This window comes from Homo sapiens, chromosome 2 (genome assembly GCF_000001405.40).
Source record: "Homo sapiens chromosome 2, GRCh38.p14 Primary Assembly".
Taxonomy (NCBI): domain Eukaryota; kingdom Metazoa; phylum Chordata; class Mammalia; order Primates; family Hominidae; genus Homo; species Homo sapiens.
The window spans coordinates 159,765,410-159,789,214 of record NC_000002.12 but is presented as its reverse complement, the minus strand read 5'-3'; the positions used below and the strand labels follow the sequence as shown (position 1 = coordinate 159,789,214).

At 36.8% G+C, this 23,805-nt stretch overlaps 3 protein-coding genes across 58 annotated transcripts in view, besides 1 other annotated feature; 2 read left to right on the top strand and 1 right to left on the bottom strand.

Moving 5' to 3' along the window:
* The window catches only part of LY75-CD302 (LY75-CD302 readthrough), a 136,129-nt gene extending 115,542 nt beyond the window's left edge, over nucleotides 1–20,587 (top strand). For both annotated transcript variants that reach the window (NM_001198760.1, NM_001198759.1), the window contains 5 exons: nucleotides 5,746–5,856; nucleotides 8,217–8,333; nucleotides 9,037–9,210; nucleotides 11,251–11,277; nucleotides 17,162–20,587. In NM_001198760.1, coding sequence (NP_001185689.1) covers nucleotides 5,746–5,856; nucleotides 8,217–8,333; nucleotides 9,037–9,210; nucleotides 11,251–11,277; nucleotides 17,162–17,364 — 632 coding nt within the window. In that variant the 3' untranslated portion in view covers nucleotides 17,365–20,587. The remainder of the gene's footprint in view (nucleotides 1–5,745; nucleotides 5,857–8,216; nucleotides 8,334–9,036; nucleotides 9,211–11,250; nucleotides 11,278–17,161) is intronic.
* Nucleotides 1–20,587, top strand: part of CD302 (CD302 molecule) — a 29,581-nt gene extending 8,994 nt beyond the window's left edge. The window contains exons 2-6 of one of the 3 annotated variants that reach the window (NM_014880.5): nucleotides 5,746–5,856; nucleotides 8,217–8,333; nucleotides 9,037–9,210; nucleotides 11,251–11,277; nucleotides 17,162–20,587. In NM_014880.5, the coding sequence (NP_055695.2) occupies nucleotides 5,746–5,856; nucleotides 8,217–8,333; nucleotides 9,037–9,210; nucleotides 11,251–11,277; nucleotides 17,162–17,364 (632 nt within the window). In that variant the 3' untranslated portion in view covers nucleotides 17,365–20,587. The remainder of the gene's footprint in view (nucleotides 1–5,745; nucleotides 5,857–8,216; nucleotides 8,334–9,036; nucleotides 9,211–11,250; nucleotides 11,278–17,161) is intronic. The other 2 variants (NM_001198764.2, NM_001198763.2) reach the window with 2 other exon arrangements.
* Nucleotides 4,243–4,412: an enhancer, noted in NCBI's record as "experimental_53950 CRE fragment used in MPRA reporter constructs". NCBI's record gives its function as "activates a minimal promoter by MPRAs in K562 erythroleukemia cells, with activity observed for both the introgressed and non-introgressed 2:160641399 variant alleles {active_cell/tissue: K562}" and the evidence as "EXISTENCE:reporter gene assay evidence [ECO:0000049][PMID:34662402]".
* The window catches only part of MARCHF7 (membrane associated ring-CH-type finger 7), a 58,522-nt gene continuing 52,904 nt past the window's right edge, over nucleotides 18,188–23,805 (bottom strand). For 28 of the 53 annotated variants that reach the window (NR_164794.1, NR_164792.1, NR_164791.1 and 25 more), the window contains one exon: nucleotides 20,642–21,931. Coding sequence is in view for 46 of the 53 variants with exons in the window: in NM_001376244.1 (NP_001363173.1) it covers nucleotides 21,863–21,931 (69 nt within the window). In the remaining 7 variants the exon portion in view is untranslated. Of the gene's footprint in view, nucleotides 21,932–22,298; nucleotides 22,324–23,805 lie in introns of all 53 variants that reach the window. The other 25 variants (XM_047445513.1, XM_047445518.1, XM_047445527.1 and 22 more) reach the window with 3 other exon arrangements.

Genomic DNA, 23,805 nt, shown 5'->3' with positions numbered 1-23,805 from the left:
GCCTGGGCAATATAGTGACACCCCTGTCTCTACAAAAAAAAAAATCAAACAAATTAGCCATCCTGTCTACTCAGGAGGCTGAGGTGGGAGGATCACCTGAGCCCAGGAGTTCAAGGCTGCAATGAGCTATGACCATGCCATTGTACCCCAGCCTGGGTGACAGAGAGAGATCTTGTCTTAAAAAAAAAAAAATTGGAGTTACCCTTACCCCAGTTAAGTTACAACTTAAGAGTGCATTAATAAACCAGGAAGAATGAGATTATATTATGGAGAGTATTAACAGTATTGAAAAGAGCAAAAGGATATACAGGACATGGTAAAAAGTCTAACATAGATGTAATTTTGGTCCCAGAAAGGGAAGAGAGAGAGAATGGAGCAAAAGTAGCATCTGAAATGATAATGGCCAAGAACTTTTCAAAAGTGACCAATGAAAATAAGCCACAGATTCAGAAAGTGCATTGAATTCTTAGCAGGATTTAAAAACACTAAAACAACAGCATGCCACTGTAAAACTGCTAAAAACCGAAGACAAAGAAAATCTTGAAAGCAGCAAGAAGGGGGAAAAGCACATTACTGTCCAAAAAGCAACAGTGAGACTGACAGTTAACTTCTCAGTAGAAATGATGGAAGCCCAAGCAACAAAACTATAGTGATTCATTGCTTAATTAACAACAGGGATACATTTTGAGAAATGCAATTTTTCATTAGGCAATTTTGTCATTGTGCAAACATCGTAGAGTGTACTTACACAAACCTAGATGGTATGCCTACTACACACCTAGGCCACGTGCTGGAGCCTATTGCTCTGCAGTAACTTGCGGAACCTGTATGGCATGTTGCTATACTGAATACTGTAGGCAATTGTAGCACAACATAAGTATTTGTGTTTCTAAACATAGCAAAAGCACAGTAAAAATAATGGTATTATAACCTCATGGGAACCCTGCCATATATAGTCTATCATTGACCAAGATGTCATTATATGGTGCATGACTATGTACATCTTAAATGAAAGATAAGCTGCCATTCTACAATTCTGTATTTGCAAAGATAGCCATCAAACATGAAGACAGTATAAAGACCTTTTTTCTTTTTCTTTTTTTTTTTTTGAGACGGAGTCTCACTCTGTTGTCAGGCTGGAGTGCAGTGGTGCAATCTTGGCTCACTGCAACCTCCGCCTCCTGGGTTCAAGTGATTCTCCTGCCTCAGGCTCCCCAATAGCTGGGATTACAGGCACCCGCCACCACACCCAGCTAATTTTTTGTATTTTTTAGTAGAGACAGGTTTTCACCATGTTGGCCAGGCTGGTCTCAAATTCCTGACCTCAGGTGATCCACCCACCTCGGTGCTGGGATTACAGGCGTGAGCCACTGTGCCTGGTGGAGACATTTATAGAGTATCAAGAACTGAGGGAGTTTCCAGTAGACCTGCACTTAAAGAAACACCAAAGAGATTTCTTTAGGCAAATGGAAAATTATCCCAGTCAGTAATACAGAAATGCGAGAAGGAATGAAGAGCAACAGAGAGGGTAAATATGTATTTAAATCTAAAAGAACACCGGCCAGGCAAAACAGTAATAAAACAATAAGATAAAGGAAAGGAAGCCAATGAAATTAAAATATTGTATGTTTCTAGGACTGCCTAGGAAGTGGTAAAAGTACTGATTTATTTGAGGTATTAATAAATCAAGGTCACATATTATAATTTTCAGGGTAGCTACTACAGAAAAAAAATTAAAGAATATATAATTAACAAGCTAAAAGAAAAAGGATCAAATATAAAATGTTTAATACAAAAAAGACAATAAATGAGAAAAAAGGAACATAAAATAAGTAGGACAAATGAAAAACAAATATTAAGATGGTAGATATAAACTCCAATTCATCGTAACTACATTAAGTATTACTGGAAATACTTCAATTAAAAGACAAAGGTGATCAAGCTGGATTTAAAAAAAAACTACTTGCTGCTTGCAAGAATTATAACTACTTAGAAAAAGTGTTTGGCAGTATCTGTGAAAGCTGGGCACATGCATACTCGATGGCCCCAGCAATCTACTTCTACAAAGGTACTCACAAGAAGTATGCATAGAATGTTTAAAGCAGCATTACAATGGCCACAAACTAGAAACTACCCAAATATTCATCAACAGAAGAATGAATAAGTTCTTAGATAAGTCTTAAATAAAATGATTTTTAAAGTAACATTTATCAAAAGAAGCCAGACACAAAAGAGTACACAATGTATGATTCCATAACTATAAAGTTCAAAAACAGGCAAAACTAATCGATGGTGTTAGAAGTTAGGTTAGAGATGACCTTTGGAAGGGATGGTGAGCAAAAGGGGTTAATGTTCTGTTCCTCATTCCTCTGATAATTATATGGGTATGTTTACTTTATAAAAAATTCACCAAAAAATAAAAGAAAAAAGAAAAAAATTCACCAACCTGTATATTTATGACTTGTGCATTGCATGTATGTTTTATTTGAATAAAAAGTTTAGTTTTTAAAAAGTGTATCAGGAAAGGTATTAGAATTGGCAGCAAGGTCAATTCAGTTATATTTTAGTATGTAAGAAACTTGGCCGGGCGCAGTGGCTCATGCCTGTAATCCCAGCACTTTGGGAGGCCAAGGTGGCCCAATCACCAGAGGTCAGGAGTTCAAGACCAGCCTAACCAACATGGTGAAACCCTGTCTCTACTAAAAATACAAAAATTAGCTGGGTGTGGTGGCGGGAGCCTGTAATCCCAGCTATTGGGGAGGCTGAGGCAGGAGAATCACTTGAACCCAGGAGGCAGAGGTTGCATTGAGCTGAGATCGCGCCACTGCCCTCCAGCCTGGGCGACAGAGTGAGACTCTGTCTCAAAAAAAAAAAAAAAAAAAGAAAAAGACAACATGCTTCAAGAAGGAAAGGTTGAACCCACAGGGAAAGGGAGTGTTTGAAGATGCTGAAGAGATGATAAATTAAGCTACTTAAGGACAAATAAGAGGATTCATTCATTCAGCTGAATATTTTAAGTCCCTATTATAATCCAAGAGCTATCTGAGGTGTTAGGAATCCAAAAATTAATAAGGCTTAGTCCCTATTTTTAGAGTGGTCACTGTCCAGGAGCAAAAGATGCCAATGATGATGTCTGTAAAAACTACATATTTTTAATACTTTCCTTGTACGAGACACTGTGCTGTGCAGGTTTGCAGTATCTTACCTGATATTTACAACAATCCAATGAGGTAGATGTTATCTCCCTTTTCCTGATGAAACACAGGAAATAATATAAGTTTTCCAAGGTCTCACCACCAAGATAAAAACATAAGTCTGTCTGACGTTAAAGCCGTGTTCCTGCTGGTACTTTACACTGCCATTGGATGGTGTGTGGTTACATGCAACAGTCACAATCAATTCTAGTGGGGATGTCTTGGAGAAGGTGGTATAGATGGCCTGAGCCTCAAAGGATGAGCAGACAGAGAATAATGTTTGATGGCCTGGAAGTGGATTTGAAGGAAGAAGAGTCTTTTCTCTGAATAAAGGCCAGATTTTCAAAGAAGGTGGCAGAAATGTATAATGAACCTGAGACGACTGAGTGCTGTTTCTCAGGGAAAGGATCTACCTGCTCCATATACAGACTTTCAACCAAGTGTCTTGTTTTCAGACCTTCCTCCTACAAAGCTGTCTGGCGTCTCCAATTCCTGACTCTGTTCTGGACTTCTTTGCTTTGTAAATGTTGGTATCATGTAATTTTATAGCCAGATTGTTTTAATGTTTCATAATGAACATTTTCCCAAAGCAAACTGCTTGTTGCAAAACAACCGTATCTTTAAGCCAGCATTGTGGGAGAGTTCTAGATTCCTGCCAGAGTTAAACCCAAGGTAGTCATATGTGTAATTCAAGTGCTCATAAAACAGCTGGAAGGAAAAAAAATTTGGATATAAAATAAATTATAGGTGGGGCACAGTGGCTCTCACTTGTAATCCCAGCACTTCGGAAGCCCAAGGTGGGAGAATTGCTGAGCCCAGGAGTTCCAGAGCAGCCTGGGCAACATAGCAAGACCTTGTCTCTACAAAAAAATTAAAAAATTAGCCGGGTGTAGTGTTGTGTACCTGTAATCCCAGCTACTCAGGAGGCGGAGGCACAAGAATCACTTGAGCCTGGGAGGCGGAGGTTGCAGTGAGCCAAGGTCATGCCACTGCACTCTAGCCTGGGTGACAGAGTAAGACTCTGTCTCAAAAAAAAAAAAAAAAAAAAGTCTGTACGGATACAGGGAGCACACTGCTTCCTTTTAAAGGCAAGACCGCTATGTTGAACATTCCACTTCTGCTAAACCCTAATTATCCAGAAGTTATAAGACTGCGAAGCAATCTAGCTTGGTGGCCATGTGCTCTGTGCTATATAAGAAGCTGAGGTCAGTACTGGGGACAACCAATGCTCTCTGCCATATTCTGAGCTTAGTAAACTTGAGAGTGTTGAATTAATTTAGATTAATGTAGCTGATTGGTAAATTCTGATCTTTGTGGTAGGGCTTGCTTCTACTTGTTTATATTAAAAAGGTAATGCAGAACTTAGGCCTGGCGTGGTGGCTCACACCTGTTATTCCAGCAGTTTAAGAGACCAAGGCGGGTGGATCGCTTGTGCTTAGGAGTTTGAGACCAGCCTGGGCAACGTGGCGAAACCTTGTCTCTACAAAAAATACAAAAGTTAGCCGGGCATGGTGGCACATACCTGCAGTCCCAGCTACACGGAACGCTGAGGTGGGAGGATCCCTTGAGCCCAGGAGGCAGAGGCTGCAGTGAGCTGAGATCGCGCCACTGCACTCCAGCCAGGACGACAGTACAAGATCTTGTCTCAAAAAAAAAAAAAAAAAAAAAAAAAAAGCAGAACTTAAAACATAAAATTGCTACATATTTATATAGATGAAATCACTAAGATTTTTACCTATATACAAACCTAACAGAATATGGACGCTTACTGCTTTGTACTTCTTTATTCACTGGAATTAAGTAAAATTCTCTTTCCATTTTGGCCAGTGAAATCAACTCTTGCAGGGTTACTTTTGCTTTTAATACTAACCAATTAAATTCTAGAGCCTAGGCTTAAAAATGCAAATCTTTATAATAAAAAGAGACTAAGATAGAGGTGAAGGAGATGTCCCTTTAGAGCAGTAGAGGAAGAGTTATGGTTCTATTTCATTGAACTACCTCAAATAATCTACTTTGATGAGGTGTTAAATTAAGAACATTCATAAGAACATCAATCTTGTTTTCCTGTGCAATATGAAAACTTGTGTGAATATTTATAGGCTAGCAACTTGTTTTTCTTTTCTCTGTTCTTGGAGGTATAATTTGAACAACAGGGCCTTGTAAAAGTCTTAAGACTTTTGAAATTGTTAAATACTGCAAAGATAACCTTCAAAGAGAAGTGTGTAATCCTGATTGGCTGTCTTCTAGATAGTTTGTTGCCTTGGTGATAACACTAATTTACATGTCTGAATTCCTAAACAACCTAAAAACTTGTATCTTTGCTCTGTAAAGTCAGAAGAGAATCATTGGCACATTTCTCTTTTCCCGTATGAATAATGGAGAGAAACAAATTCCTGTTACACTGGTTGATTTCTTATTTTAATAAAGATTTAACAAAGGAAATTGCCTTTGTGTGTGTGTGAAAATTTAGTATCTAATATCCTTATCTTTGGGAATTCATGTAATTCTTTTTCTCAAGTTATTTAACAGTGTTCTTCTTTTTTCTACATAGACTGTCCTTCATCTACTTGGATTCAGTTCCAAGACAGTTGTTACATTTTTCTCCAAGAAGCCATCAAAGTAGAAAGCATAGAGGATGTCAGAAATCAGTGTACTGACCATGGTAAAAGGCTTATTCTTTTCTGTTTGTTTTTTCACAAATTAGTGAACAGTGTTCATTAATTTCTTTAAAAATTGATTTTGTCACATCTGACTTTTAACTGGGTCCTGAGATTTAATGTACAACTTTTATTTGACAACACACAAGCTACAGGCAGTGGAATTGGGTATATATTTAATCCTGGAGTTGGAAGACAGTTGTTGGACAATATTGTCCAAAGCAGGGTCTATTTAACATGCATATCCTGTGCCAGGCACTGTGCTTAAGCACCTCATATACTTTACCTGGCTTTATCATAACAAACCTATCAAGTAGTGTATTATTATCATTTTATTGAGAGATGAAATTAACTTCAGTTATTTGTTCAAGCTTACACAGGAAATAATTGACAAAGCCAGGATTTTAACCCAGATCTGTTGGATTTTAGGCTTAGAGTTCTTAATCACTTAGTTATTCTGCCTGGAAAGTGCTGAAGTCAGATTACATAGGACCATGAAGTAAGACTGTAGTAAAGAAGAGTACATTAAGGAAAAATTATAAAAAGGCTATTTGCTAGACCATACACTCAGTGTTCTCTAGGAAATAGATTTATAACATCACATTGTAAAATATTTGAAGTGTCTTTTTTTTTTTTTTTGAGACAGGGTCTTGCTGTGTCCCCCAGGCTTGAGTGCAGTGGCATGATCATAGCTCACTACAGCCTTGAACTCCTGGGTTCAAGTGATCCTCCCATGTCAGCCCCCTGAATAGACAGGACTACAGGCGTGCGCTAGCTATTTTATCTGTTTGTTTGTAGAGACAGGGTTTCACTATGTTGCCCAGGCTGGTCTGAAACTCTTGGCCTCAAGTGATCCTCTCACCTTGGCCTTCCAAGGTGCTGGGATTACAGGTGTGAGCCACTGCATCCAGCCAAAAAAATGTCTTTTTTTTTTTTTTTTTTTTTTTTTGTGAGATGGAGTCTCGCTCTGTCGCCTAGGCTGGAGTGCAGTGGCGTGATCTCGGCTCACTGCAAGCTGCGCCTCCCGGGTTCACGCCATTCTCCTGCCTCAGCCTCCCGAGTAGCTGGGATTACCAGCGCCCACCAATAGGCCCGGCTAATTTTTTGTGTTTTTAGTAGAGACGGGGTTTCACTGTTGGCCAGGATGGTCTCGTCTCCTGACCTTGTGATCAGGATCAAGTGATTCTCCTGCCTCAGCCTCCCGAGTAGCTGAGATTACAGGGGTGCATCACCACACCTGGCTAATTTTTTGTATTTTTAGTAGAAACAAGGTTTCACCACGTTAACCAGGCTGGTGCCGAACTCCTGAGGTCAGGCAATCCACCTGCCTCAGCCTCCCAAAGTGCTGGGATTACAGGTGTGAGCCACCATGCCCAGCCTAAAGGTGCTTTTTATTACTGTTATATTCTTCAACAATAACATTTGGAAGAATGTATCAAATTGTACTAGGGATACCTTAATCAAAATCATATACATTTATTATAGAAGGAATAAATGTAAACACCAAAGTTATTAATCTTATTAAAGCGCCACATAGTACTTAATACATATATGTTGTTTCCCTTTGAAAAAGTCTTACATGAACATTGGCTCTGTGAAAACAAGACGAAATTTCCAACATGCCAATATGGTTTTATTTCAAGGCAGTTGAAATAAAATAATAGCAATTTTGCTGGTCTTAGAATATTTTTAAAACAAGTTTTCCCCTGCAACTATTTTCTTTCCTTTCTTCCTTTTTCTTCTTCCTCTTTTCTTTCTTTCTCTCTCTTTTCATTTGTTCTTTCTTTCTTTCCCTTTTTTTTTTTTAATGGAGTCTCAGTCTGTTGCCCAGGCTGGAGTGCAGTGGTGTGATCTCAGCTCATTGCAACCTCTACCTCCTGGGTTCAAGCAATTCTCCTGCCTCAGCCTCCTGAGTAGCTGGGATTACAGGTGGGTGCCACCAGACCCAACTAATTTTATTTTATTTTATTTTTTTTTGGTAGGGACAGGATTTCGTCATGTTGGCCAGGCTGGTCTCAAACTCCTGACCTCAGGTGATCCACCCGCCTCAGCCTCCCAAAGTGCTGGGATTACAGGCATGAGCCACCACGCCCAGCCCCTACAACTATTTTCCATCCCTTAAAAAAAATTATGTAAAGTATACTGAGACATAAACATAATTTCAATGACATAAATCATATTAGAGGCTGAGAGCCAAGACATGTCCCTGTAACCTTATTAGCTTGTATGAACTGTAAGATCAAAGTTTATTGTCCAGCTCTAATATATATAGAAAGTTAAGCAACTATTTATTATTTTTATGTACCTAGTGATTTTCACTGATTCTGGAATATGCTGACTTTTTTTCTCTTTAAAATAATTTCAGGAGCGGACATGATAAGCATACATAATGAAGAAGAAAATGCTTTTATACTGGATACTTTGAAAAAGCAATGGAAAGGCCCAGATGATATCCTACTAGGCATGTTTTATGACACAGATGGTAAGTGATATTTACCTCGTGGGACGTGACTTTGTTGTTCTTTTTTTAATGTAGCAAAACTGATGGCTTTTCAATTCTCTGGTTCAAGTTGATGATTCCTGTGGCCTCCAGGTGTTAAATTTTCAGTGTGCACCTATGATCATACCACAGCTTGTATCTGCATAGCTCAATGAGTTACACAGATGAAAGCCACAGTTGATTCTTGTCTGGATTAAAATGTGGCTCTAAGGCTCAGTATTTTTGTAATATAGCATGATCATAAAGGTAAGTATTAGTGTCTGCAACTAATAGGCTAAGGATAGACTAAATTATCACGGTTCTATTATATAAACATATTTATCATTACTGTAGACAAAGTACATATGTACAAATATAAAAGTACATATGTAAACATTTTCAAATGAAATGAAATTACTAAGGTTACTATTAATATTTAACTATTTTTCTTGACTTTTTTCCCATGAGAATATTATACATGTATATATTTTTGCGAAAATTGGATCATCTTCAGAAACCTCTTAAATCGATAGCTTTTGATGATTTGGCTGTACACAGGATATATTCCTCCTTCTAATTTTAATCCTACAATCAGAAGTTTAGACCAGACATACCTTAGTAACTTTCCACCTTTAATCCTACACCCTTTTTGGCTTGAACTCCTTTTAAAACTGTCATAATGTTGAAAATATTCCTTAATTGACAGATGCGAGTTTCAAGTGGTTTGATAATTCAAATATGACATTTGATAAGTGGACAGACCAAGATGATGATGAGGATTTAGTTGACACCTGTGCTTTTCTGCACATCAAGACAGGTGAATGGAAAAAAGGAAATTGTGAAGTTTCTTCTGTGGAAGGAACACTATGCAAAACAGCTAGTAAGTATGACCGAAGGTGTTTTTCCATTCTAGAAGGGGCAGAGAAAGTAGGACTGGTTTTAAAATAATTTTGAGATAAGTGTGCCTCAATAAATAGAATAAGGCTAGGCACAGTGGCTCACGCCTGCAATCCCAGCATTATGGTAAACTGAGGCACTGGATTGCTTGAGCGCAGGAGTTGAAGACCAGCTTGAGCAACATGGCGAAAACTCATCTCTACAAAAAATACAAAAATCAGCTGGGCATGGTGGCGTGCACCTGCGGTCCGAAATACATGGGAGCCTGAGGTGGGAGGATCAATTGAGCCTGGGAGGTTGAGGCTGCAGTAAGCCTGGGCAACAGAGCAACACTCTGTCTCAAAAAGAAAAAAAAAAATAGAGGGAATAAGACTTCAGAATATATTAATAGGATGGTTTGCTCTTAAGTCTCTTGGAACTCAAATTGTAATTCTCTTACATTTAGGAGGTAAGGCCAGATCACATGAAATAGGCATACTTTTATTCTGTCTGCTTAGTGTTTCCAAGAGGTCAAAAATTTCTTGTTCAGAGGAATTATTATAATCTCTTTGCATGTGATTTGAGTGAGCAGAAGTGGTGAAGAGTAATCATGTATAATTCCAGAATTCTCGTGTTACTTTACAAGGAATTAGATTCTCCATAAGAACATCCTTTGTTTAGGCAAACAAAAACTACATCATAGTTTATAATTTATTTGGAATTAAAATGTTTTCTTCTGACCCGTCAGAAGGTTTTTTTTTTTTTTTTTTTTTTTTTTGCGATGCAGTCTCTCTCTGTCGCCCAGGCTGGAGTGCGGTGGCGCGATCTTGGCTCACTGCAACCTCTGCCTCCTGGCTTCAAGCGATTCTCCTGCCTCAGCCTCCCAAGTAGCTGGGACTACAGGCACCCGCCACCATGCCCGGCTAATTTTTGTATTTTTTAGTAGAGATGGGGTTTCACCATATTGGCCAGGCTGGTCTCGAACTCCTGACCTTGTGATCTGCCCACCTCAGCCTCCCAAAGTGTTAGGATTACAGACGTGAGCCACTGTGCCCGGCCCAGAAGGTTTTTTAATGAACAGAAGTTATCCTGGCCCACAACAGTATTTTGATGTTATTTGTTAAAACACTACACAGTTTGTTATTCTAAGTTTTAGAAAGTAACTGTTTTCTCATTAAAGAAAATTAAATTTTCAAAATGTGGGCTGGGTACAGTGGCTCATGCTTGTAATCCCAGCACTTTTTGAGGCTGAGGCAGCCTGGGTCAACATAGCAAGACCACCATCTCTACAAAAAAAGTTTTTAGTTTTTTTAATGTTTCAAAATATGAATTTAGGGTGCTTAAAACATGATATAAACAACCATTTCCCCATTTTGCATCCTCAGTATTTTCCCCTTCTACTTCAACTGTAAACCAAAACTCCACATCCTGCTTTATTTCCTTTCTTTACATATGGAAGTATGTACATTTCTTTACTTGCTACAGCAGGATCCTTGACTACTGTTAGTTTTACAGTGATTATCAAAATGTTCGTCATAGTTTTATGGTAGCAGTATTCAACTTCAAATATTTGTTTTTTAAAAAATTGGTTCTTTTCAGGTTCTGCACCTCAGGGTGCCATTACATAAACAAAGTTTTTAATTAAACTATAACTTCAAAACATCAGAAATAGTGAGTACATCCATACTAAGGTAGTTAGGGTCACAGTTGTTTAATTTTATGACATTTGTTTTCTAGACTCTCCAACCAGAATCCTCTTTTTTCCTTTACCTCATTATTGTCTTTTCCTCAAGATCCCGTATTCTTTTCCACCAACCAAGCTAATGCATGTTGTTAGCCCTCTACATCTTTCTTTAAAAACTAAGTTCAAAATAGACAACAGAGACAACTAATGAGGCAAAGAAATATGGATTTTAGGCTATGAATATATTGATATTAAGCTACTAATAAAAGGGTTTATTTTTAATGATTGTGAACATGTTTAAAGTCAATCCTATAATAAAGCATAATTAAATTCTAATTTTTATTTTCTTTTGTATTTTAGTCCCATACAAAAGGAAATATTTATCAGGTAAGTAATGATTTGGTCTTTAAATTTTTCCCACAATTAAAAATATATCAAAATTCTGGCATATTAAAATACATTACAGATCCCTTTTTAAAATTATGTAATATAAAGTAGAACAATTTTTATAAGAATGTAGAAAGGTCTCTTAGTAATAAGACTCAACATTTTAAATATATTCTACAATATGTAGTTTTGTCTGGCTTCTTTTACTCGGGAATATTTTTTTAGATTCATCTGTGTTGTGCACATTCACTGAATTTTTTCCCTAAGTGTCATAATACTTTATAAATATATCATATATTGTCCATTCTCTTGTTTATGGATATTTGGATCACTTCTAGTTTTAAACTAATTTGAATAGAACTGCCTATGAACATTCTCCCACATCTTCTTTTGGACCTATGTTCTCATTTTCTTTGAGTATATTCTAGAAAGTAGAAAGCTGGGTCATAGGGCAAGTATATATATTTAGATTTATTAGAAACCACCAAATAATTTTTCAAAATGCTTGAATCATGTTACTACTGGCAGTGCGTCCAAGTTCCATTTGCTCCATGTTCATCCCATGATGGTATTGTCAATTTATTTTTAGCCATTCAGATCAGGTGTGTAGTGATCTTCTTGTGGCTTTAATTTTCATTTACCTGATAATGATGTTGAGCACCTTTCAGATGATTATTTATTTGTATATCTTTTGTGAAAAGGCTTTTACCCATTTGCGGAGTGCAGTGGTGTGAGCTTGACTCACCGCAGTCTTGACCTCCTGGGCTCAAGCGATACTTCCACCTCAGCCTCCCAAGTAGCTGGGACTACAGGTGTGGGCCGCCATGCCCAGCTAACTTTTTTTGTACAGATGGAGTTTCACCATGTTACCCAGGCTAGTCTCAAACTCCTGGGTTCAAAGGATCCACCCGCCTCAGCCTCCCAAAGTGCTGAGATTACAGGCGTTGGGCCGCCATGCCCAGCCACCCATATTTTTTTTGAGTTGCCTATATTTTTGGTAGGAATTTTTAAAACAAATTTTGTTTCTTTAAATTTGGATATGGGCCGGGCTAAATAATACAAAACTTAGCCGGGCACGGTGGCGGGCGCCTGTAATCCCGGCTACTTGGGAGGTTGAGGCAGGGAGAATTGCATGAATTTGGGAGGCGGAGGTTGCAGTGAGCCGAGATCACGCCACTGCCCTCCAGCCTCGGCGACAGAGTGACTCCATCTCACAAAAAAAAAAAAAAAAAAAAAAAAATTGGATGTGAGTCCTTTGCCAGTTTTCTATTTGGGGGTTACTACGATAGAACTATGACAGAGGAGGAGAAAAGAAGTGTTGGGTTTGTGTGTATACAGGAATTACATCCTCATTAATCTATAGGAAGAAGACAATAAATAACAAGCATTAGTGTGGATATGCAGCAATTGGAACTCTTGTGGTAGGAATGTAAAATGGTGCAGCCTCTGTGAAAAACAGTGTGGTGGTTCTTCAAAAAAAATTATTAAAAGAATTACCGTATGATCCAGCAATTCTGAGTATGTATCCCAAATAACTGAAAGCAAGGACTCTTTAATATCCGTACACCCATCTGTTTGATATTTGTGTATCTATGTTCATAGCATCATTTGCCATAGCCAAAAGGTGGAAGCAACCCAAGTGTCCACTGATGAAGGGATAAACAAAATGTAATCTGCACATACAACTGAGTATCATTTAGCCTTAAAAGAGAAGAAAATTCTGACACGTGCTACAACATGCATAAACCTGAAGGACATTAGGCTAAACAAAATAAGCCAGGCACAGGCCGGGCGCAGTGGCTCACGCCTGTAATCCCAGCACTTTGGGAGGCTGAGACCGGTGGATCACCTGAGGTCAGGAGTTTGAGACCAGCCTGGCCAACATGGCGAAATCCCGACTCTACTTTAAAAAAAAAAAAAAAAAAGTTGAAACCCGGAGGCAGAGGCTGCAGTGAGCCGGGATCACTCCACTGCACTCCAGCCTGGGCGAGACAGAGCAAGCCTCCATCTAAAACAAAACAAAACAAAACCACCACAAAAAAAAAAGAAAAATAAGCCAGTCATAAAAGGCCAAATTCTGTATAATTCTTACCTATAGTATGAGGTACCTAAAGTAGTCAACCTCACCAAGAAACTCTTTGCCAAGGGTTAGGTCAGGAAGAAATGGGAGTTTAATAGGTACAGTTTCCATTTTACAAAATGAGTTGTTCTGTGAATGGATGGTGGTGATGTAGCACAACGAAGTGAATGTACTTAATGCTACTGCACACCTAAGATGGTATTTGTTACATGTATTTCTTTAAATTACATTTTTAAAAAATCAAGCAGCGGAAGCATGTTATTTAGACATGGAGACAGATAAATAGCTGAAGCAACAGTAGTAGTTAACTTTAAGGAATGGATGTTCAGGTGAGTAGTGGAGCAGGAGCACAGTATTTTCACTACGTATCTTCTAGAACTATGACTTTTAAGCTACGTAAATGTATTACTTTGGAAAAAATAAAGATACACATAAGTTGGAACATTTAGAAAAAAATAGGTCTGTGGCTTCAAAAACGAATAGTTGAAAGATCTGGCAACATATGGTCTTCAGACTACAAGAAAAGTAATCTCTGAATTCATTACATGTATGCATGTATATATGTGCATGTAAATCTGTATTAAATATGTGTATGTAATTTAGTGAGTAAACACTATGTGTCAGGCTTTCTCCTAAAGTTAGACATTGAAGACAGAGCAATGAACAAAACAAAAGCCTCTGCTCTCAAGCATACATTCTAGTGGGAAGGGTAAAACAAAACTATGTGAGATGGTGACACATCCTATAGGGAAAACAGGCAGATAAGGATGAATTCCAGTGCAAGAAGGGAGGTGTTGCACTTTATTTTTATTTTTAGTACAGTGGCCAGGGAAGGCCTCATTTAATAAGGCCATGATTTTGCATAATGAAGACCTAAAGTCAAAGTGAAAGCCTGTCATGTAGATAGGGATTAGGCTTAGTCTGACTTTAAGGAGTAAAACAGTAGAGAACATGGAGTTGAAGCAGCAAGGAAACAACCCAACAGTTAAGTGTAGCTGCCATCTTGGCAAACAGGGAGTTCCCCTTCATACCAAGGGTAAGCTGGAAGACTCCCTTGGGAAGAATACTTTCAACAGAATTAAGGTGTCCATAGTCGGATGCACCTAGTGTGGCAAGCACACAGGAAAGGTCAAGTTAGTCCAAGCTGGGTTCAGCAAAGGTTACTGGAGAGGATGCAGGAGTTAAATCTTCAAGGATAAGTAGACATCAGGCAGGAGACAGAGGACAGGTTATCTGAGGTGACAAATCAGGACCAAGGTGAAGGGTTGAATTTTTGCTGTCACTTACTAAATGGACTTGGGCAAGTCATTTAAACCCTGTGCCTCAGAATTAAATGCACAGTTGGCACTCTCACCTGAGGCTACAGCCTAACAAAATGTTTCATATAGTTTTTGAGGTGGATTATGTATAGTTCGGGCCTCAGATGATCAGTGTTAGAACTAGAGCGTTAAGGTAGCAGTCAGATAGATAAATAGGAAACAGAAGAAAAATGTGTAGTCTTCACAATTTATAGAGAGGAAGTCTATAAATTTCCAGATTGGTTGACTGGACAGTGGCTATTTATTTGCAGGAATTCAGGTTAGAAGAAATTTGGAAGTAGGGCTACACACACATATTTATCTATGGATTTACATAAAAGACTTGAATGGTTGAGATCAACCATGGAAAGCTTTGAGTCCACAAAGATGACTAGGAAGCAGTCGTCTGAAAAATAGAGCAGTCAGGGAAGCCAAGTGAGTAGGAGATAACTTCAAGGCTGGACGGCTAACAATCTAGTTGCCCCAGGATGAACTAAAACATCCACGTGTTTAAGCATGTAGTCATAAAGAGATCATTGGTGACCTCTGCCACAGAAATTTCTGAAGAAATGTTGAGAAAATGGATTAAATGGGCTTAAGAAATGAAAAAGTGAGCTTGTTTCAGTGTTTGCTGTTTCCTCAAGTAAGGAACATTGTTAGGCTAAAAAGTATTTTTCCTAAATTTTGTTTCTTTAAAAAAAACAGGATTTCATGGTAAATAGCTATTATATGCTGTCAAGCAAGCAATGGACCTTTCCTTTAATTAATGAGGTAGATAATACATTTCCTAATGTAAAACTATCCTAACCTCCAGATATAAACTACACATTGTTTTAATACACTGCTTATCAGTTGCCTTGACAATTGACTTTGTCACACATTTTAGTAGTATGCAGCTAGCTAACTAAAACCCCTGGAGGCAACTTTGGCTAAAGGTCACTTGCAGAATGTGAAAAGCAGCATATATACTTACTGTGTCTCGCCCATCTTGGACACTGTCCAGTTCTTAGGATACCCGGTCTTTTAAAGCTATTATGATTGAGTCTGTAAATATTTCTCAATTACTATGATCTTTCAGACTTTTCTATATTACTATCATGTAATTCCTATTTAAAGTAGATGCTACCGATTATGAAGCCATTATTGTACAATCATTAGTACACTGAAATAAAGTGTGTTCACACTGGTAAAGTTGAGGTTCTACACTGAAAATGGACTATGTTAATTCTAATAAAACTAACTACGGGGCTGGGCACGGTGGCCCACACCTGTAATCCCAGCACTCTGGGAGGCCGAGGGGGGCAGATCACTTGAAGCCAGGGGTTTCGGACCAACCTGGGCAACATGGCAAAACTGTCTCTACTAAAAATACAAAAATTAGCTGGACATCATGGCGTGCGCCTGTCATCTCAGCTACCCAGGCTGACACATGAGAATCCCTGGCACCCAGAAGGCGGAGGTTGCCGTAGCCAAAAACTATGGAAGAACCCCATTTGAACTCAGTTTACGGAATTCTTGGCTTTTTTTCATTTTAATGTCTTTAATAATACCACCACCAAATCCACCCTCACACCTTACCAAATCTTTACTACCAAATTTTATTTCAGAATTAAAAAGATAGTTCACTTGGGGCCATTTCCTCACTCCTCCCAAAAAATCCTGTCAATATTTGAAAAGTATCAATGGCTCTCCCTCACTTTAACAAATAATTTGGCCAAATTTCTCTCACTAATCTTAAATTCTTCCAGGTCTCATTTTAACAAGCACCAGTTGAAATAATGGGTATTATGAATATATTTAATAATAAAAAATCTGTCAAAATAATTCTGAAAAGTTTTCACATTCTTTAGAGTCGATTACTATACATAATACAAGTACCTGCCCAAAAGTATGTTTGTTCTCCTAAACCAGGTTATTTTCCTCAATTTATTAAACTGGATTCTTATAGAAAGATTACAAGGGTTTGAATAGGCAAGAACTGCAAAGTTGTGCATACTTACAGAAATTTAGGGAAACACACAAAGAATGAATGAATGCAAAGACACACAAAACCAGGTACTTTACTGCAGGTCTTGGTGTTTTTTTCAGTTAAACAAATCTTAAATCCCCAAAGCCAGGTGAACCATTAAACCTCAATAATGTAACACATTATCTAAATACTAGAATTCCTAAAGGGAACAGTAGGTCTGAATTTGTAGTCTTAGATCAGAAAGTAAAGCGAAGGAAGACAAACTGGAGCATGGTATATACTTGCGTGATTTCCACTATGGGGTCTTCAGTAGAGTGGAGAAGTGCACAACTTCCTAGAAAATTTGAGTACTATTCTTCAGGCTAAGAAATATAAATCTTGTTAGTAACAAATGCGAAATTTTTGGTTTTCTCATCAGTGTGGGAAATTCTCAACACAGAGAAATGTTTACACAAAACTACAGTTGTGCTCATCAAAATATACTTGCAACTTGTGTACCCTAATTTCCCAAATACTCTTTTGTCTTTTCCTTTTCAGATAACCACATTTTAATATCAGCATTGGTGATTGCTAGCACGGTAATTTTGACAGTTTTGGGAGCAATCATTTGGTTCCTGTACAAAAAACATTCTGATTCTCGTTTCACCACAGTTTTTTCAACCGCACCCCAATCACCTTATAATGAAGACTGTGTTTTGGTAGTTGGAGAAGAAAATGAATATCCTGTTCAATTTGACTAAGTTTTTGGTAATCTTGCACTAAGACATCAACAAAATGCCCTGGCAGAGATAACTTGGGAAAGATTTTAATATAAAACTTGACATTGGATATTAGAGCTTTAATGGTATTCCTTATTCCAGTAACATTTTTATGTACTCATCTGCTGTGAAAAGTCTTTAGGTTCATTAAAAAAACAGGTTTTAGAAATGATCTTAGATCTAATATAGTGATTTTAAGCATCCCGTCAAAGGCAGAATCTGTCACTTGAATGAAGGAAAGCTTAAAGCCCAAGCAGATAAAAATAAAAGCCCAGCCTATTTGTCTTGCCTGCTGTATCTTCCCTATTTAGTTGACCCACTTTAGTTTATATGTTTATTAGTAAACATGAAATGGGGAATAAGTGATTTTAAGTACATCCCATACATTTAAATATCTTTGATAATTGTTATTTTTTTGGCAGATAATTCCTCTAGAATGTGTATCTTTTTATGATTTAGATGAAGAAAATTTTACAACTTTTAACACCCCACACCAATTTTAGTTTCATTACTTTTACACACACCATTTTATCACAAATGACTCAAGTTTTAATGAATGTTTATAAATTATTTGAAACAAAATATGATCGCTGTGTCCAGGATGGCATAGAGAAAGCTGGCAATTAGGTTAACACTTACATATTATAGTGCCCCTTTAAGGATTTCTCTCTTGCCACCATACCTTTTGTACTTTCCCCTATACAAGATGTATCTCATTCTCCTCAAGCATTTATAAATTTTTCCTTCAATGACATGAAAACTGTGCAAGCAAAAACCGAAGAAAAACACTTAAGTACAACTGTAGTGACAGTGATCAAAGTTTTCAGTGCATTTATTGTACATTTTAAGAAAAAGGTGAAAATCATTTGGGGAGTAAAAAAATGAAAAAGCTGAAACGAGTAATTTTCCTCACCATCAATAAACCAAAAACAGGAAAGATAAAGAATGTATAAATTTCACGTAAATTAGTCACGTATCACTTATCAATGGGGATACGTTCTAAGAAATGCATAGTTAGGGAATCTTGTGTGAAAATCAGCTTGTATTTACACAAACCCAGATGGTAGAGCCTATTTTGTCCCAAACCTACACAGCATGTTACTGTGCTGAATACTGCAGACAATTGTAACACAATATTTGTGTATCTAAATATAGAAAAGGTACAGTAAAAATATGGTCTACTAAGGAAACACTGTTCTATATGTGGTCCATTACTGACTGAAGTATACTGTCTAGAAGTCTGAGGCTCAAAGAAAAGTAATCCCTCTTCTGAATCCACACCCCATCAATTATCTTACTTTCTTCTGGGGAGATAGATAGATATACTATCTCACTAGCTTGACTAATGGCAACAAAGTTCCAGCTTGTGTAGTCTCTTTTTATTGACCACATGAATCGAAAACACTCATCACAATTAATGGCACTATCATTAATGAGACATGAGTAACTAAAAAGTGATAGAAAACTATTAACAGTGCGGCTACATGGTACTGAAAATGCAGGCATTACACCAGCTGTTACACAAGCACAAGCATGCTCTGTAAGAGCTTTACATTTCTGAGATTTTGTATAGTGATTGAGATGTCTATTTTATTATTGATAGACTATTACTAATGTCAATATTGAACACTACCCTGGAATTCCTGCCTGGTTTTCCTACCCAAATTGTACCACTCCTTGAAGAACTACAGGCACAGTAAAAAAAATATGGCGTATTATGTGAACTAAAAGAGTTCTAAAGGAGTTCTTAAAGGAGTGGTAGAATTTGGGTAGGAAAGTGATTAAGTCCAACTTAAAACCAACAGTCTCAAACGTCTACAACTACAATGTCCAATGAGCCACTAGCCACATGAGGCTATTTAAGTAAATTTAGTTTAAAATCCAGTTTTCGAATTACATTAGCCACATTGTCAAGTGTTCAAATCACAGGTGGTTAGTGGCTACTGTACTGGGCAACATACATTATAGAACATTTTCATTATAGGAAGTTTTATTGGGCAGTGCTGCTCTTAAATCCTACCTTCCACTCAACTCCCATACAACTTTCTTTTGTACATTTTGATACTTTCTACCTAATGGCAGCTCTTCCAAAATAGCTGCTTTAAACTCTGATTTAATTTTCAATATTTGGTTTCATTTTTCAACAGGCCAAGAGGCCTCTGGTAATGAAGTGCTATATATATATATATGATGGAGTCTCACTGTGCTGCCCAGGCTACAGTGCAGTGGCTCGATCTTGGCTCTCTCCAATCTCCGCCTTGCAGGTTTTCAAGCAATTCTCCTGCCTCAGCCTCCTTAGTAGCTGGGACCACAGACATCTGTCACCACACCCAGCTAACTTTTTGTATTTTTGGTAGAGACGGGGTTTCGCCATATTGACTGGGCTGGTCTCAAACTCCTGACCTCAAGTGATCCACCCACCTTGGTCTCCCAAAGTGCTGGGATTACATGCGTGAGCCACCACACTTGGCCTACATTTTTTCTTTATATACCAGAACATCTATAACAGGCACCTTATCTACTCATTAGTGAAGAGATAATTGGATTACACAGGCAGGCTTGTTTACTACATCCAGAATGTAGAAACTGCTTTCTTCAACATCTTGGTTCTAGCTAGTAATAACAATATAATTCTTTGGCAGATATTCAGAATAACATTTTAAACTACATTTTCTTAGAAAATTGCATTCTTGTAGTGAGCAGTGTATGGTCTCTTTTGTTCAGAATTTAAAACTGATAACCAATGAAAGCCTTTTCTCTTATTCCTCTACCGTCATTTACATGATAATCTGAAGCTAATATGACAATATTTAAATACTAAGTGGTACTAGGGAACTACAAGAATACTGTAAAGCTTAAGCCATTGTTATCACTGTCATTTAGCATTTAATAACAAAACTATACAGAATTATGTGCATACCAATGAATGTTTTGTACCATCTAGTTAAATTTTTTAAATAAAGTTTTATGGGTTAAGCAGAAGACAACTGTCATACTGAATTTTATTAAAAGTATATATACTTCAAATTCAAAGCATCCCTTAGGACCCACAGAATATATTAAAACTACCACCCTTAAATTTTATATTTTTGCTTTAAGACAGACAATGCAAAGGTAACTGGCAAGAGGTGAGCAAATGTTTTAGAACATTTATATTATTGCTTAAAATGAGATTTGAAATTGTAATAAAATTCTTGGTTATGAAGTCTGATGTCTTCTTTGAGCACCAGTTTAAAAGGAAACATTTCAAACAGTAAAATAAATCAGTGTGTACTTTATTTTGAGCCAATGTTTTACATAAGACCAACAAACTAAGTGTGGGCAAACTGTTCAATCACTTTTGAGAAATTACATGGTTCCTATTTAGGTTTGAAAAAGTAGTTTGTTGCCATAACATCAGACCTTAAGGTGTTTTAAAGTGTATCCTAAGGGTACTGACAGAAGAAAAATACAGTGTTATGGAAGTATACACAACTCATGACCACACAGTATAGATCCATTCATGGTGAATAATGTTCATCTGTTCTCCAAAGGTAGTGAAAAATATTAAGTCATCAAATAAATGCTCAGAATTACCAAGGAACAGTTAAAAAGGACCAGGATCCAAACAGGTTATTTATATATTTATCTATAAACAAGTGACAACACTAAAAAACACATTGAAAACCAGTGTTTTAAACTCTGAATGTGGGATTTAAAAATATTCCATTAACTTGAGATTGCAATAATTTTTTTAAACCAAATAGCATTTGACTGGCAAGTCTCATATAATTTACAGCTGTAATATTCCTAAAAGGAATATCTACATACTATAGCCTATCAAATATAATCTGCATTTTGCAAATCAATACAAAAATCTATCCATCATTTATACATTTTATATTTATATACTTTTTAAAAATTAGATTTTATTGCTAGGTGAATTTGGAATTCAAATTAAATTTGGAAACTTAATAATGCTCTTCTCATAACCTTCTCCCCATTCTTTTTTTAATTTTTAAACACTGGAAGCAAATGATTATCAAAATGAGACTGCAACTTAAGGCATTTTAAAAGAAAAAATAATTAGGTGCCATATAGCATTTTATTTCAAAAGTATATTTTGTCCCACTTTTCTCACTAGCAAGAGTAAAACACAAACCTTTTTTCATAAATATGACTACAGTAATCATAACACAAAAAAGGGTTGATAGGCATTGCTTAGATATTTAAAACAAGGGTAATACTTTCCCACTCACCTAAAAGAAAAAACCTTTTTGATTACCAGTTTATAAACATCGGATTTGCTATGTTAAAAAGTCCAGCAGAATTTTAATTCAGCAACACTGGAGAATGAATATATATATACAGGCATACATGTGTATGTATATATTCATTTTATATATAGTCAATGTATTTATTAGGCATTCCCCCACAAAAGTAATTTATATTTAATTGCCATTTTTAATAAACACTTATGTTCACAGATCATCCATCTGTCTTATATGAAGTTAGGCAATATCAAATGTCCTGTTATGGTCTCCGTCTTCTTCGGAATCATCCTCTGAAGCTGTTGAAAGAAAACAGGATGATCAAGAATGATTTTAAGGGGGATAAGAATGGGAAGTGTAAATATGAAGCCAGAACAGCAATGACTTGTAAAAACAAAAATCCCAATTTAGTATATTGTTTGATCAAAATGATAAGTTGTATGACAGGGTTAGGGTGGTCTGCCTGTGGGTGATACCCAACCACAATTCTCCCCGCCCCCACACCGTTTTGTAATGTTATATCAATTTTTATAAAAATGAAAGTGCTTAAAAATGTGGTTCAAGAGCATCTTCTAAAATGTTTCTGAGATCAATCTGTGTTCATAGTAGCTAATGATATATAAACACTAGGAAAAAAGTCAACTTAAGGCAAGTGCTCTCACACACCTGAGTAAAATCTGGCTTATTACCGCTGCATGTTTGGTGCATCCGATGAGAATGAAAAGAAGTGTACATAGAATAAGAGGTTATGGGTGTTCTTGCAATTTACATCAAAGCTATGTCTATACAATGCCAAGATAAAAGTTCATTTAGTAAGTCAAAAAAGCTTCATATAGACACAGCCTAAATTAAAATAATTGGATTCAGTAAAAACCTACTGTTGAGATTATTCCCCTGTCTCCACACTGCCAGAAACTTACCACTTTTGCAACATTTCTGACCTCAATTTATTCAAGAGTCACTAGTGGCTCAAGAGTTAAAAATAAAGCATCCTGGGTGTCTTTAGGAAAGACATAGTAAGTGTAAAACTATGAATTCTATGAACTGCTTTGCACGTGTAAGAAAATGCAAGCTCACTAAAATAAACATCTAACCAGCATCTTTCCCCCATTATAGGGCAAAACGGTTTAATGCCCTCTCTTTTTATATTTACATTGGACAAATTAAGAGCATCCAACAAATGGAATCAACCTAGGGCAAAGCACAGAAAAACTATGCAACACTAATAGATTTAAATCCATTTAATAAATGACAAAGCATATAACTAAGTCATGACTGATAATAAACTCTACTGTTAAGTTTTATGCTCTATCACTGAGAAATACCAAACTAAAAAATTACAGCTTATTAAGGAACTTCTTGTGTTTTTCCATTTAACTCCACTCCACAGGAGAGGATAATTTAGTCAGAACCCATTTCAGAATGTACTAATACTCTGATATTTAGGGGTTAACTTGCAGCACCCTTGTCTTTCATGCTTATTTGAGTATGGACATATTTCACCTCCATCTTTTTCTTCCCACATGTTAGGAGCAGACAATACTATGTTTAAGAAACTAAATTTTAAACGAGAATGTTAGTTTTTTAAAATGGAGAAATCTGGGGAAAACATACACTGAAACAAATTACTATCATGACGTTGGACAAAGTATAAATTGTAATTTAAAAAAACAAAGAAGAGACCTTTGTATTAGGCCAACCTAAGGGATCTGAAAGAAGGTATAAAGGGAAAAAATTTTATACCAAGTGAATTCACACTGACTCCTTTCTTTTCACATATCCTAATTAAAACTGTGAAAATATGTTACCTGGTTTCATCTCAAAACCTTTAAAAACTTGAAAGTAGTATAGACAATGACAAAAATCTATGTTTTAGATTATCTAGAATTAAAAAGTTCCTATGAGGACTAAGTCCTTTTTAAACCTTACTTCAAAGGATGCTGAGCTTTCTCTAAAAGTAAAAATGTTATGCACACTATAGATAACACTCCAAATAGTCTGAAGATGAGTATAGAAGTATTCAACTGAAGAATACGTATTTTAAAAAGACACTTTGGATAGTGTTTTGGAATGGGCAACAAAGGGTGAAAAAGTAAAATATGTAGGGGTTGGGTGGGGTAATCTTCAATTTCTAGAAACTATTCCAGAGCCACCAATACCTATGCCCACATGG